We start from the raw sequence: 12,429 nt of genomic DNA on the forward strand, positions 1-12,429 counted from the left end.
AAAGGTGAAATGACACTGGGTTACAATGTGCAAGTTATTACCATTTACAGTAGTCTTGCCATTATTTTGTTTTATTAAAACAAAAAAGTATAAAGTCTGAGTCTAGTGTTAGCTTGTCTTTAACATCTCCTTAAAACATGCTCATCTCTCTAGAGAGAACAGGCCTCAGAGTCAGAACTTTTTAAATAGGCAGCTATACTTAGCTGGAACTCAATGATACCATTTCACTTTCATTTTACTTACTTTTACAGTTACCTTCTAATTATGGAACCCTATAAAAGTTTTCCAATTATTTTCACAGATATAAAGCTTGCTTTTAAAGAAACATATTTACCTTTTGAGTTAATCTATTTAGCAGGAAATATTAAGTAAATGCTGGTAAAGTTGGGCTGTGGATACAGCAATATTTGCGATGGTGCTGCTCAACCAGCTTCCGTTTGGGAAACAGTGTCCTCATCTGCTGGGTCCCATAGTTTTGGCCTTTCAGGCAGCTTTTCACAACCTTCACACCCAGCCAGATTTTCCTTTTTGCTCTGTACCCCTTGGACATTTCGTGCCAATGTTCTCATAACTCTCCCCAGAGTCCCCTGTGGCTATTAGTAGGCGTCTTCCTGGCTAGACTGTGGACTTCTCTTATTCATTTCTTCAACTTGCCAGAAACAAGCCTGGCCCAGAGTGGGTTCCAGAAATAGGTTAGTTGTTCTTGTGTTCTTCTTCATGAAGATGGAGGTTTCAGGGTTGTCCAGACAGGCTCTAGACTCAGTTTCCTCATTCTGTTTGTTTGTTTGTTTGAGATGGAATTTCACTGTTTTTGCCCAGGCTGGAGTGCAATGGTGTGATCTCGGATCACTGCAACCTCCGCCTCCCAGGTTCAAGTGATTCTCCTGCCTCAGCCTCCCGAGTAGCTGGGATTACAGGTGCGTGCCACCATACCTGGCTAATTTTGTATTTTTAGTAGAGATGGGATTTCACCATGTTGGCCAGGCTGGTCTCAAACTCCATAGCTCACTGCAGCCTGGAACTCCTGGCCTCAAGTGATCCACCCGCCTCACCCTCCCTAAGTGCTGGGATTACAGGTGTGAGCCACTGTGCCTGGCCTATTTATTTTGAGACAGAATGTCCCTCTGTTGCCCACGCTGGAGTGCAGTGGCACGATCTCAGCTCACTCCAACTTCTGCCTCCTGGGCTCAAATGATCCTCCCCAGCTTCCCAAGTAGCTGGGACTACAAGTATGCACCACCAGGCCCAGCTAATTTTTGTATCTTTTGTAGAGATGGGGTTTCACCATGTTGCACAGTGTCAAACTCTTAGGCTCAAGCCAGTATTTGCTTTTACAAACAAATGTTTTTATTTTATTTATTTATTTTTTGAGACGGAGTCTTGCTCTGTCACCCAGGCTGGAGTGCAGTGGCGTGATCTCAGCTCACTGCAAGCTCCGCCTTGGGTTCACGTCATTCTCCTGCCTCAGCTTCCCGAGTAGCTGGGACGACAGGTGCCCGCCACCACGCCTGACTAATTTTGTTTCTGTATTTTTAGTAGAGACGGGGTTTCACCGTGTTAGCCAGGGTGGTCTCGATCTCCTGACCTCGTGATCCGCCCGCCTCGGCCTCCTAAAGTGCTGGGATTACAGGCGTGAGCCACTGCGCCCGGCCCAAACCCTTTTATTTTAAGTTCCGGAATACCCGTGCAGGACGTGCAGGTTTGTTACATAGGTTAACATGTGTCATGGTGGTTTGCTGCACCTGTCAACCCATCACTTAGGTATTAAGCCCCACATGCATTAGCTATTTATCCTGATGCTCTCTCTCCCCTCACCCCACTACAGGCCCCAGGGTGTGTTGTTCCCTTCCCTGTGTCCATCCAGGTGTTCTCATTGTTCAGTTCCTACTCATAAGTAATATGTAGTGACAAATAAACCCTTTCTTCCTTTACTTACAGCACTAGCAAAGAGTGGATTTGAGAGTTTCTCTCTTCCTGAGAATCTCTACAGCTGATTCCCCACAGGGCATCTGGTTTAGACTGATAATAAGCTTACAGAGTAGAGTACACCTGGAAAGAGAAAGTCTCCTAATTGTGTTTACCCTATTTGCCAGTGGCAGGACTTAATCACTTGATTTCTCAAACTTGACTTACTCAGGTTCCCTCAGGGGCCTGGGCCCTGGGGCCTGGCCTGATGCAGCTGGCTGCAGTCAACATTTCTTTCAAGTCTGAAGTTTTATCTTAAAACTTCAGGTGAGGTTTGAATTCTACTGCATAATATACTCTTGTTTGTTTTAATATGAAAATATTGAAAATAACTTACTGGCTAAATTGCTTAAATCTCTATTCCCCATTTTTTTTTCCTATTGCCAATTTTTGGGTAAAAATGAAGTTTTCCACGAGCAGCTTTAGGTATCTCTTAACACACTGCTGCTGTGTGCTCCTGGGGCCAGCCCGGTGTGAAAGTGAGTCCCTGGGTGATCGCAGCAGTTTCTGAATGACTTCCGGAATACACACAAAGCTCTGGACACACTCCATGCATGGACAGGCTCCTACAGGAAGTGGGGAGGCTGGTGGCAAAGAGATTTTTCAACCAGAGAGCACCTGCCTATTCATCCCAGAGTCTGGCAGAGTTAAAGGAAAGTTTAGGATTAAACAGGATGACAGAGTTTCTCTCTCTTTTATTTCCCTGCCTTCCTCCCTATCTCTCTCCTTCCTTCCTTCCTCCCTCCCTCCTTTTCCTCCTTCCTTTCCTTCCTTCCTTCCTTCCTTCCCCTCCTCTTCCTTCTTCTTTCTTTCTCTTTCTCTCTTTCTCTTCCTTCCTTCTTCTTTTTCTTTCTTTCTTTCTTTTTCTTTCTCTTTCTTTCTTTTTCTTTCTTTCTTTCTCTCTCTCTCTCTTCCTTCCTTCCTTCCTTTCTCTCTTCTTTCTTCTCTCTTCTTTCCCTCCCTCCCACCCTTCCTTTCTTCCTCTCTCCCTCTCCTTCTCTGTTTTTTAGAGAAGGAACTTCGCTCTGTCACCCAGGCTGAAGTGCAGTGACATGATCATAGCTCACTGCAGCCTGGCACTCCCGGGCCCAAGCGATCCTCCCGCCTCAGTGCCCATTGATTACAGGCATGCACCACCACGCCTGCCCCATAGTGTTTCTTAAGTTGGATATAAAACCTCCCTATGAGAATAAATTTTTAAAAAAATGGAAAAAACCCTTCTCTATGAGAATGTTTAAATTCTGAGTTTCCATTTCAATGACATTTTAAAAAAGACAGATTGGTAAAAGCCCTGAATTCAACACTATGCAACTTATCCATGTAATAAAATTACACTTGTACCTCATACATTTATAAAAACAAAATAAGTAAAAGATGGATAGGTATATTCTGGAGAATCTGAACGTTGGCCCCAACAACTGATTTCTGCTGGCAAGTGAATTAGGGTCTCAGGCTATGACTTCAAATTTCATTAGCTAAGGAGAAAAGAATCAGGTCCGACGTCATATGTTAGTGATATATTTGTGCCAAATGAGTGTTGAATGCACCACGATATGCTGCTTTAACAAAGGTTTTCCCAGTATTTCCATTAGAGAAAAATGAGTCATCACAATACTCAGAATATATAGGCAGATTGATTCCAAAAAATCTACTCCAATGCGGTTGCCTCCATCCTGTCCGTGTGAGTGGAGATATAATTTCAGCAAAGCTGAAAAAAATCAGTATATGTATGTGTGTGTATATGTGTGTGTGTGTGTGTGTGTGTGTGTGTGTGTGTATGAATTAAAAATAAAAAGCGCCATCAGGTCTCCTGTTAATGTTAAGGTAAACTCTGTCAGCTTTGTGTTTAACCTGTGAAAGTATTCTTTTTTTTTTTTTTTTTTTTTTTTTTTGAGACAGAGTCTTGCTCTGTCTCTCAGGCTGGCGTGCAGTGGCATCATCTCGGCTCACTGCAACCTCCGCCTTCCAGGTTTAAGGGATTCTCCTGCCTCAGCTTCCAAAGTAGCTGGGGATACAGGCATGCGCCACCACACCTGGCTAATTTTTGTAGTTTTAGTAGAGAAGGGGTTTCACCATTTTGGCCAGGCTGGTTTCGAACTCCTGACCTCAGGCGATCTGCCCACCTCGGCCTCCCAAAGTGCTGGGACTACAGGTGTGAGCCACTGCGCCTGGCCCAGTATTCATTTTTTACTTGCATAGTAGCTACAAGGCAACATGTTTATGTCTGTCTGGCTTATGTATATAATATACATTAATTTAAAATCATTTAAGTCTAAACACTGGGAATCTATAAGAATTTTGTTATCTTTAAGATGGGTGGGTACAAACTCAAATTTGAAAAACTGTTGTCTTAGTCCATTTTGTGTTGCTATAACAGAATACCACAGGCTGGGTAATTGATAAAGAATAGGGATTTATTTCTCACAGTCGTGGAGGGTCGGAAGTCCAAGGTCAAGGGGCTTGAATCTGGCGAGGGCCTTCTTGCTGTATCATCCTGTGGCAGAAGCAGAACGACAAGAGAGACACGTGCAAGAAAGGGAAGGATCCCTCATGTCTTGGTGCTGTCGTTGAGTGAATGAGTTCTCATGAGATCTAGTTGCTTAAAACTGTGTGGCACCTCCCACCCACTCTCTCTCTTGCTCCTGCTTTTGCTATGTGAGACACCGCCTCCCCCTTTGCCTTCTGCCATGATTGCAAGCTTCCTGAGGCCTCCCCAGAAGCTGAGCAGATGCCTGGCACCATGTTTCCTGTACAGCCTGCAGAACTGTGAGCCAATTAAACCTCTTTTCTTTATAAATTACCTAGTTTCACATATTCCTTTATAGCAAGGCAAGAATGGCTTAACACAGTGGTCTAAAGAGACAATGGAATATTACTGAGCCTTAAAAAGGAAGGAAATTCTGACTCATGCTACAAAATGGATGGACCTTGAGGACATTATGCTAAGGGAAATAAGCCAGGCACAAAAGGACATACACTTATATGAGGTACCTAGAGTAGTCAAACTTATAGAGCCAGAAAGTAAAATGGGCTGGGCGCGGTGGATCACGCCTGTAATCCCAGCATTTTGGGAAGCCGAGGCGGGTGAATCATCTGAAGTCAGGAGTTCGAGACCACCCTGGTCAACATGGTGAAACCTCATCTCTACTAAAAATACAAAATTACTCGGGTGTGGGGGCTCATGCCTGTAATCCCAGCAACTTGGGAGGCTGAGACAGGAGAATCGCTTGAACCTGGGAGGTGGAGGTTGCAGTGAGCCGAGATCGTACCACTGCACTCCAGCCTGAGCAACAAGAGCGAAACTCCATCTCAAAAAAAAAAAAAAAAGTAAAATGACGATTGCCAGGGAGCTGGGGGGAGAGGAGAGGAGAATTGTGGGGTTAGTGTTTAATGGGCACACAGTTTCATTTTGGGAAGATGAAAAAAGTCTGAAGATGGATGGTGGTGGTGGTTGTCCAACAATGTGTGCGTAACACTACTGAAGTATATACTAAAAATGACTGAAATGGTAAGTTTTGTATTACGCATATTTTACCACGACAAAAAAAAATACAGTAAAAGCAGTTTAGCAAATTCATGTTCACAGCAGCAAGGACATGACGTGGTTCTCACATCTCCATGGAAGCTGCCACGTGCTTCCCAAGTGCTGTCCGCATCTTGATTCTTCTAAGAGGGACTTCCACAGGGCTCTCCAAGTGAACATTCTTATGATCCTAGATGAATGCAGGGAGAAAAATCAGCAAATCTTCAGTCCTTTCCAAACGAAAGACTAACGTGGCCTGGGACTTTGTCTGTTTGTCTATAACAGCATACCGCAGACTGAGTAATTTATAAAGAACAGGGATTTATTTCTCACAGTTCTAGGGTCTAGGAAGACCATGATCAAGGCCTTGGCATGTGGTGATGGCCTTCTCGCTGGGTCCTCACGTGGTGAAAGGCGGAAGGGCAAATGGGGGATGATCGCTGTGTCCTGGCAGGGCAGAAGAGCAGCTGAAACACACTTCCTCTGTCAAGCCCCTTTACGAGGGCAACTAATTCCATTCATGAGGGAGGGGCCCTCCTGGCCTAGTCACTGCTTAAAGGCCCTGCCTGGTTTTTTGTTTTGTTTTGTTTTGTTTTGTTTTGTTTTTTGAGACAGCGTTTCGCTGTTGTTGCCCAGGCTGGAGTGCAAGTGCAATGACACGATCTCCGCTCACCGCAACCTCCGCCTCCCGGTTTCAAGCGATTCTCCTGCCTCAGCCTCCCTAGTAGCTGGGATTACAGGCATATGCCGCCAGACCTGGCTAATTTTGTATTTTTAGTAGAGACAGGGTTTCTCCATGTTGGTCAGGCTGGTCTCGAGCTCCCGACCTCAGGTGATCCGCCTGCCTCAGCCTCCCGAAGTGTTGGGATTACAGGCGTGAGCCACCGCGCCTGGCTGGCGGCCCTGCCTCTTAATACTTAAAGGCCAATGTCACATTGGCAACATCTGAATTTAGGAGGGGACACATTTGAACCATAGCGGCCTGGTTACTCCGCTGAGGATAGTAACTAACATGCACCACCCAACCCAGATTCCTCATATTTATTCACTGTAAGGAATAAACTAAATTTAATATAGTGAAGTTCTGAATAATGCTTAAAATGTAGGATCTACAGCAGCATACATGCCAAAGTGTGTTCTGTGGGATGTTCATAAACGTTACATGTAAAAGAGGATTCTGTTGTCAAAGATATTTTGGAAATAACTGGATTGAACTAGGTTAAACAGCTTGTTAATTGAAGGCTTCGGAGTCTTTAATGTGCTGGTGTGTGGCCCTCCAAGGAGGGAGATTTGGAGGATATTCAGACAAGTGTTTGTCAAGTGGATTCAGCCACAGAACAGCTTTTCATGATCATGTTGAGGGAGGGTGTTCCATAAACATACTTTGGAAAGATGTCCATTTTGAGAAAAATAATAAAATAGAAGATAAATATATACTAGGCAGGGGTTGTCAAGCTCTGTAGTCCTTGGGCTTAACCCATCCAGCCGCATGTTTCTTTTCACATGGTTTGTACATTTTCAGACAGTTGTATTTTGAATAGTTACGTAAATACTTGTGTAACATTCTGGTTTTGCCCCTTGGTTTGCAAAGCCCCAAATATTTACTATCTGACCCTTTAAGAAAAAGTTTGCCAACTCCTGTACTAGGCAATGAAAATGTCTCAAGATTTTTTTTTTTTTTTTTGCGACAGAGTCTCACTCTGTCGCCCAAGCTGGTGTGAAGTGGCACGATCTTGGCTCACTGCAACCTCTGCGTCCTGGGTTCAAGCGATTCTCCTGCCTCAGCCTCCTGAGTAGCTGGGATTACAGGCATGCGCCACCACCAAGCCTGGCTGATTTTTGTATTTTTAGTAGAGACAAGGTTTCACCATGTTGGCCACGCTGGTCTCGAACTCCTGACCTCAGGTGATCCGCCCGCCACGGCCTCCCAAAGTGTTGGGATTACAGGCATGAACCACCGCGCCTGGCCTGAAGATTGTTAATCTGAAGATTCTACTCTTCATAGAAACAATAAAAATTATTATGCGCTATTAGAAGGGCCTACTATGTGCTAGGTATACATTATTTCCATTAATCTTCACAACGATTCTGTGAGAAAGGCACTATTGTCCCTATTTTATAAATGAGGACATCGTTTTCGAAAGGTAAAATGCATGTCAGAGCCAGAACTCAAACCCAGGTCTAACCCTAAAGCCCAGAATTGTTCCTTTGTCAGTGGTCTACAAAGTGGATTCCATGAATCCCAGCGGGTATATAAGACAAGCCACTGGGGCACACTGAACCATTGCTCTTTTCATTGTGTATTTTTTAGCATATCCTTCAGGCACGCTCAATTTTGCATATGTATTTTATTACAATACATAACAAATCAACTAAAATTGGCCTAACCAGTAGCCAATAGACAGTTTATTTATTTTAGAGGCAGGGTCTCACTGTCAACCAGACTGGAGTACAGTGGTATGATTATAACTCACTGTAGTGTCAATCTCCTGGGCTCAAGGGACCCTCCTGTCTCAGCTTCCTGAGTATCTGGAACTACGGGTGCATACCACTGCAACTGGGTTTTTTTTTTTTTTTTTTTTGAGATGGAGTCTTACTCTGTCACCCAGGCTGGAGTGCAGTGGCATAATCTTGGCTCAGTGCAACCTCTGCCTCCCAGGTTCAAGCAATTCTGCTGCCTCAGCCGCCCGAGTAGCTGGGATTACAAGCATGTGGCACCATGCCCAGCTACTTTTTGTACTTTTAGTAAAGATGGGGTTTCACCATGTTGGCCAGGCTGGTCTCGAACTCCTGACTTCAAGTGATCCACCCACTTCGGTTTCCCAAAGTGCTGGGATTATAGGCGTGAGCCACCACGCCCAGCTGTAACTGGCTAATTTTTGTAATTTTTATAGACATGGGATCTCGCTACGTTGCCTAGTAGGCTGATTTTTTTTTTTTTTTTTTGAGATGGAGTCTCACTCTCTCACTCTGTCACTCAGGCTGGAGTACAATGGCGTGGTCTCAGCTCACTGCAACCTCTGCCTCACCTCAGCCTCCCGAGTAGCTGGGACTACAGGCGTGTGCCACCATGCCTGGCTAATTTTTGCATTTTTAGTAGAGACGGGGTTTCACTATATTGGCCAGGCTGGTCTCGAACTCCTGACCTCATGATCCGTCTGCCTCGGCCTCCCAAAGTGCTGGGATTACAGGTGTGAGCCACCGCACCCAGCCGCCTAGGCTGATTTTAAACTACTGGCCTCAAATGATCCTCCTGCCTTGGCCTCCCGAAGTGTTGGGATTACAGGTGTTAGCCACCACTTCCATCCTCAGTAGACAGTTTTTAAGAATCCTAATAAATAGCTCCCTGTTCTCCTCCCCTGAGTTCAGAATTAACTGAGAGAGTGGGATCTGAGAGATAGAGAACAAAATGTTAGCTTTATTCTTGAGAGGGCCGTGGGAGAATCTGGCTTAGGTGTGGTGCCTGGCAGTCATGGTGTCTCAAGCTTGAATCCAAGAATTAAGACACGCTCACTGACCCAGGCACAGGCCTCCTCCCACAGCTAGGGGCCCAGTGGAATATGCGTCCCTGGGCCATCTGATCCCTAGTAGGAGAGAGGCTGAGCTGTGCATACCTGCTTCCTGCTCCCCTAAATATCAGTCACTCTTTCCCAGGGAGAGAGAGAGCTGGAGCCTTACTGTGATTGCAGCTCCATTCACATGGAAGGGAACAAACCAAGCATGGGTGTATGTAAGAGTTTCCCACGTAACAATATTGTACATGACATTTATTTATTAATCCATGTATTTTGTACATGTTAACATGTATAGATACACACATATATATACATATATACATATACGTATATATATGTATGTGTGTGTGTGTGTATATATATATATATATATATATATTTTTTTTTTTTTTTGAGATGGAGTCTTGCTCTGTTGTCCAGGCTGGAGTGCAGTGGTGCTATCTCAGCTCACTGCAACCTCCACCTTCCCGGTTCAAATGATTCTCCTGACTCAGCCTCCTGAGTAGCTGGGACTACAGGCACGTGCCACCATGCCCAGCTAAGTTTTTTTGTATTTTTAGTAGAGATGAGGTTTCACCATGTTGGTCAGGCTAGTCACGAACTTCTCACCTCAAGTGATCCGATCACCTCAGCCTCCCAAAGTACTGGGATTACAGGCATGAGCCACTGCACCTGGTCACATATTAACATTTTTATTGAGGGGTATGCAATGAAAACTGAAGTTCACTATTCTGTACTATACTGTAGAAGTATTGGAGGCCAAGTTTCACGCAGCTGGAAGGGAATGAGGACATAGTTTATTGTAGGATCTGGGCCTCCTGGATCTTTGTTATTCTTTTTTTTTTTTTTTGAGATGGAGTCTTGCTCTGTCACCCAGGCTGGAGTGCAGTGGCGCGATCTCGGCTCACTGCAAGCTCCGCCTTCCGGGTTCAAGCAATTCTCCTGCCTCAGCCTCTCAAGTAGATGGGACTACAGGCACCCGCCACCACGCCCGGCTAATTTTTTGTATTTTTAGTAGAGACAGGGTTTCACTGTGTTAGCCAGGATGGTCTGGATCTCCTGACCTCGTGATCCGCCCGCCTCGGCCTCCCAAAGTGCTGGGATTACAGGCGTAAGCCACTGTGCCCGGCCAGCCTCCTGGATCTTAAGAGGGGATGAACCTGGGCCTTATTAATAAAATATGTATGTTCTGTACACTGCCATTAATTTACAAGTCTCTAAAGGAAAACGTGTTTAGGAGATAGAAAAATTCCCTGCCTGGTGGCTGTTTTCTGAAGTTTCCTATATGTGGCAATCTCACTGCGGGTTGTGTTTCCCTTATCCAAAATGCTTAGGACCAGAAGTGTTGTGGGTATCAATTTTTTTTCATATTTTGGAATACTTGCAGAATACACACCGGTTGAGCTCTCCTAATCAAAAAATCTGTAATCTGAGTGCTTCATTGAGGATTTCCTTTGAATGTCATGCCATTGCTTCAGATTTTGGAGTATTTCAATTTTGGGTCTTTATATTTTGGGATGCTCAATTTGTATGGGAAAATCCTTACAGACAACTCCAAGGTAGAGCAATAGCAAGTAGGAAAGCTTGAAGTCAGTGAGCAGCTCTCTGTTGCAGTGAGTTACAAACAGAATTTGGGTGAAGGATGTGGCTAAGGTTAGACAGGCATTATGGTTCAGGTAGAATGCAAGGCAGAGCTGAAATTTAAAATTGGACATTTTCCAGAGTTTATTACATGAAACGTTGCCCCTGATAGATGCTCTGTGAATGGTATCACAGTCAAATACATTTGAGAAACCCAGTGTAAGTAAACCCCCTCTCAGACATTCACATTGCACACTAGTATGTAAGAGGCTGATTATGCTTACATAAGAAGTCCTGCAATAGACTTTAAACAGCAGTTCTCAAACTAATGTACCTTCAGAACACTTATTTCCAAATTCCTATCGACATTTGTTCTGAAAAACATTTTGGGAAATGCTAAGTGGGAAGATTATAGATTCGGGAACTTATGGTAAGGGGCTCAGATGCCCAAGTTCATCCTCTTACTAGCTGTGGCCATGGGTAAATTAATCTCTCAGACTGTTAATTTCCTCACCCATAAAATGGATGTAATATTTCCTATCTGTAAGAACTGTAGTGAAGATTAAAAGAGATAACATCTATAAACTTCTCAACTATTAGCATGTACTCAGTAAAAGTTAGATCCTGGCTGGGCGCGGTGGCTCACGCCTGCAATCCCAGCACTTTGGGAGGCCAAGGTGGGTGGATCACTTGAGGACCAGAGTTCATGACCAGCCTGGCCAACATGGTGAAACCCTGTCTCTACTAAAAATACAAAAATTAGCTTGGCATGGTGGCCCACGCCTGTAATCCCAGCTACTCAGGAGGCTGAGGCAGGAGAATCGCTTGAACCCGGGAGGCAGAGGCTGCAGTGAGCCATGACTGCATCGCTGCACTCCAGCTTGGGCGACAGAGCGAGACTCTTGTCCAAAAAAATAAAAATAAAAATAAATGGTAATAATAATAATAGCACAGAATATAATTTTTGAACATGTAGACTATACCAGGTAAGGTGCAAAGCCCGGCCATTTCTCAGGGTGGAGCATGCGGATTATTTCCTCAGAATGGATTTCTCAGGATGCTGATTCCTGCTGAGTTTGACTTTTAGGGAGTGAAGCTGAGGAATCTGTCTTTCGACAAGCTCCCTGGTGAATCATTAAGGTCATTAAAATTTGAGAGCCATTGATTAGGAAGCGTGAGTTGCAAGACGCTGAAGAATCTCATGTGGCCCAAATAATACTGAATGAGAGAAGGAATGGACATTGAAGACCAAGGACTTGGAGAAGCGTGCCCCCGTGATGGTAATCTTGGACTCAGAAACTCACCTTAGATGAGGGAGTGTTTGCAGGTATGAGAGGGTGAGGCAGCTGGATCATGTTTGGCGTGGTTAAAACAGTATGACGGGGCTGGGCACGGTGGCTCATGCCTGTAATCCCAGCACTTTGGGAGGCCAAGGCGGGCGGATCACCTGAGGTCAGGAGTTCGAGACCAGCCTGGCCAACATGGTGAAACCCTGTCTCCATAAAAAATACAAAAGTTAGCTGGCAGTACACACCTGTAATCCCAGCTACTCAGGAGGCTGAGGTACAAGAATCGCTCGAGCCTGGGAGGTGGAGGTTGCAGTGAGCCAAGATTGCGCCATTGCACTCCAGCCTGGGTGACAAGAGTGAAACTCTGTCTCAAAAAACAAAACAAAACAAAAAACAATATGATAGGGAATGGCGAGTGTGACACTTCCAGGTGAGACCTGAAGGAAGGTCACGGGACAGAAATGTAGTGAGAGGGCAAGTAGACTGCAAAGAGAAAGCCAGGTTTGGTCCCTGATCATGGTCCCATTGCCGTCCCATCCCATGAGGCGGATGCCCC

The 12,429-nt window shown here is 44.9% G+C and overlaps 1 protein-coding gene across 1 annotated transcript in view; it reads right to left on the reverse strand.

The window, feature by feature from the left end:
* Positions 5,479 to 12,429, reverse strand: part of SH3PXD2B (SH3 and PX domains 2B) — a 129,345-nt gene continuing 122,394 nt past the window's right edge. Inside the window, exon 13 of the mRNA NM_001308175.2 lies at positions 5,479 to 5,678. Within this exon, the coding sequence (NP_001295104.1) occupies positions 5,574 to 5,678 (105 nt within the window). The 3' untranslated portion in view covers positions 5,479 to 5,573. The remainder of the gene's footprint in view (positions 5,679 to 12,429) is intronic.

The sequence above is a fragment of the Homo sapiens genome, chromosome 5, assembly GCF_000001405.40.
Source record: "Homo sapiens chromosome 5, GRCh38.p14 Primary Assembly".
Taxonomy (NCBI): Eukaryota; Metazoa; Chordata; class Mammalia; order Primates; family Hominidae; genus Homo; species Homo sapiens.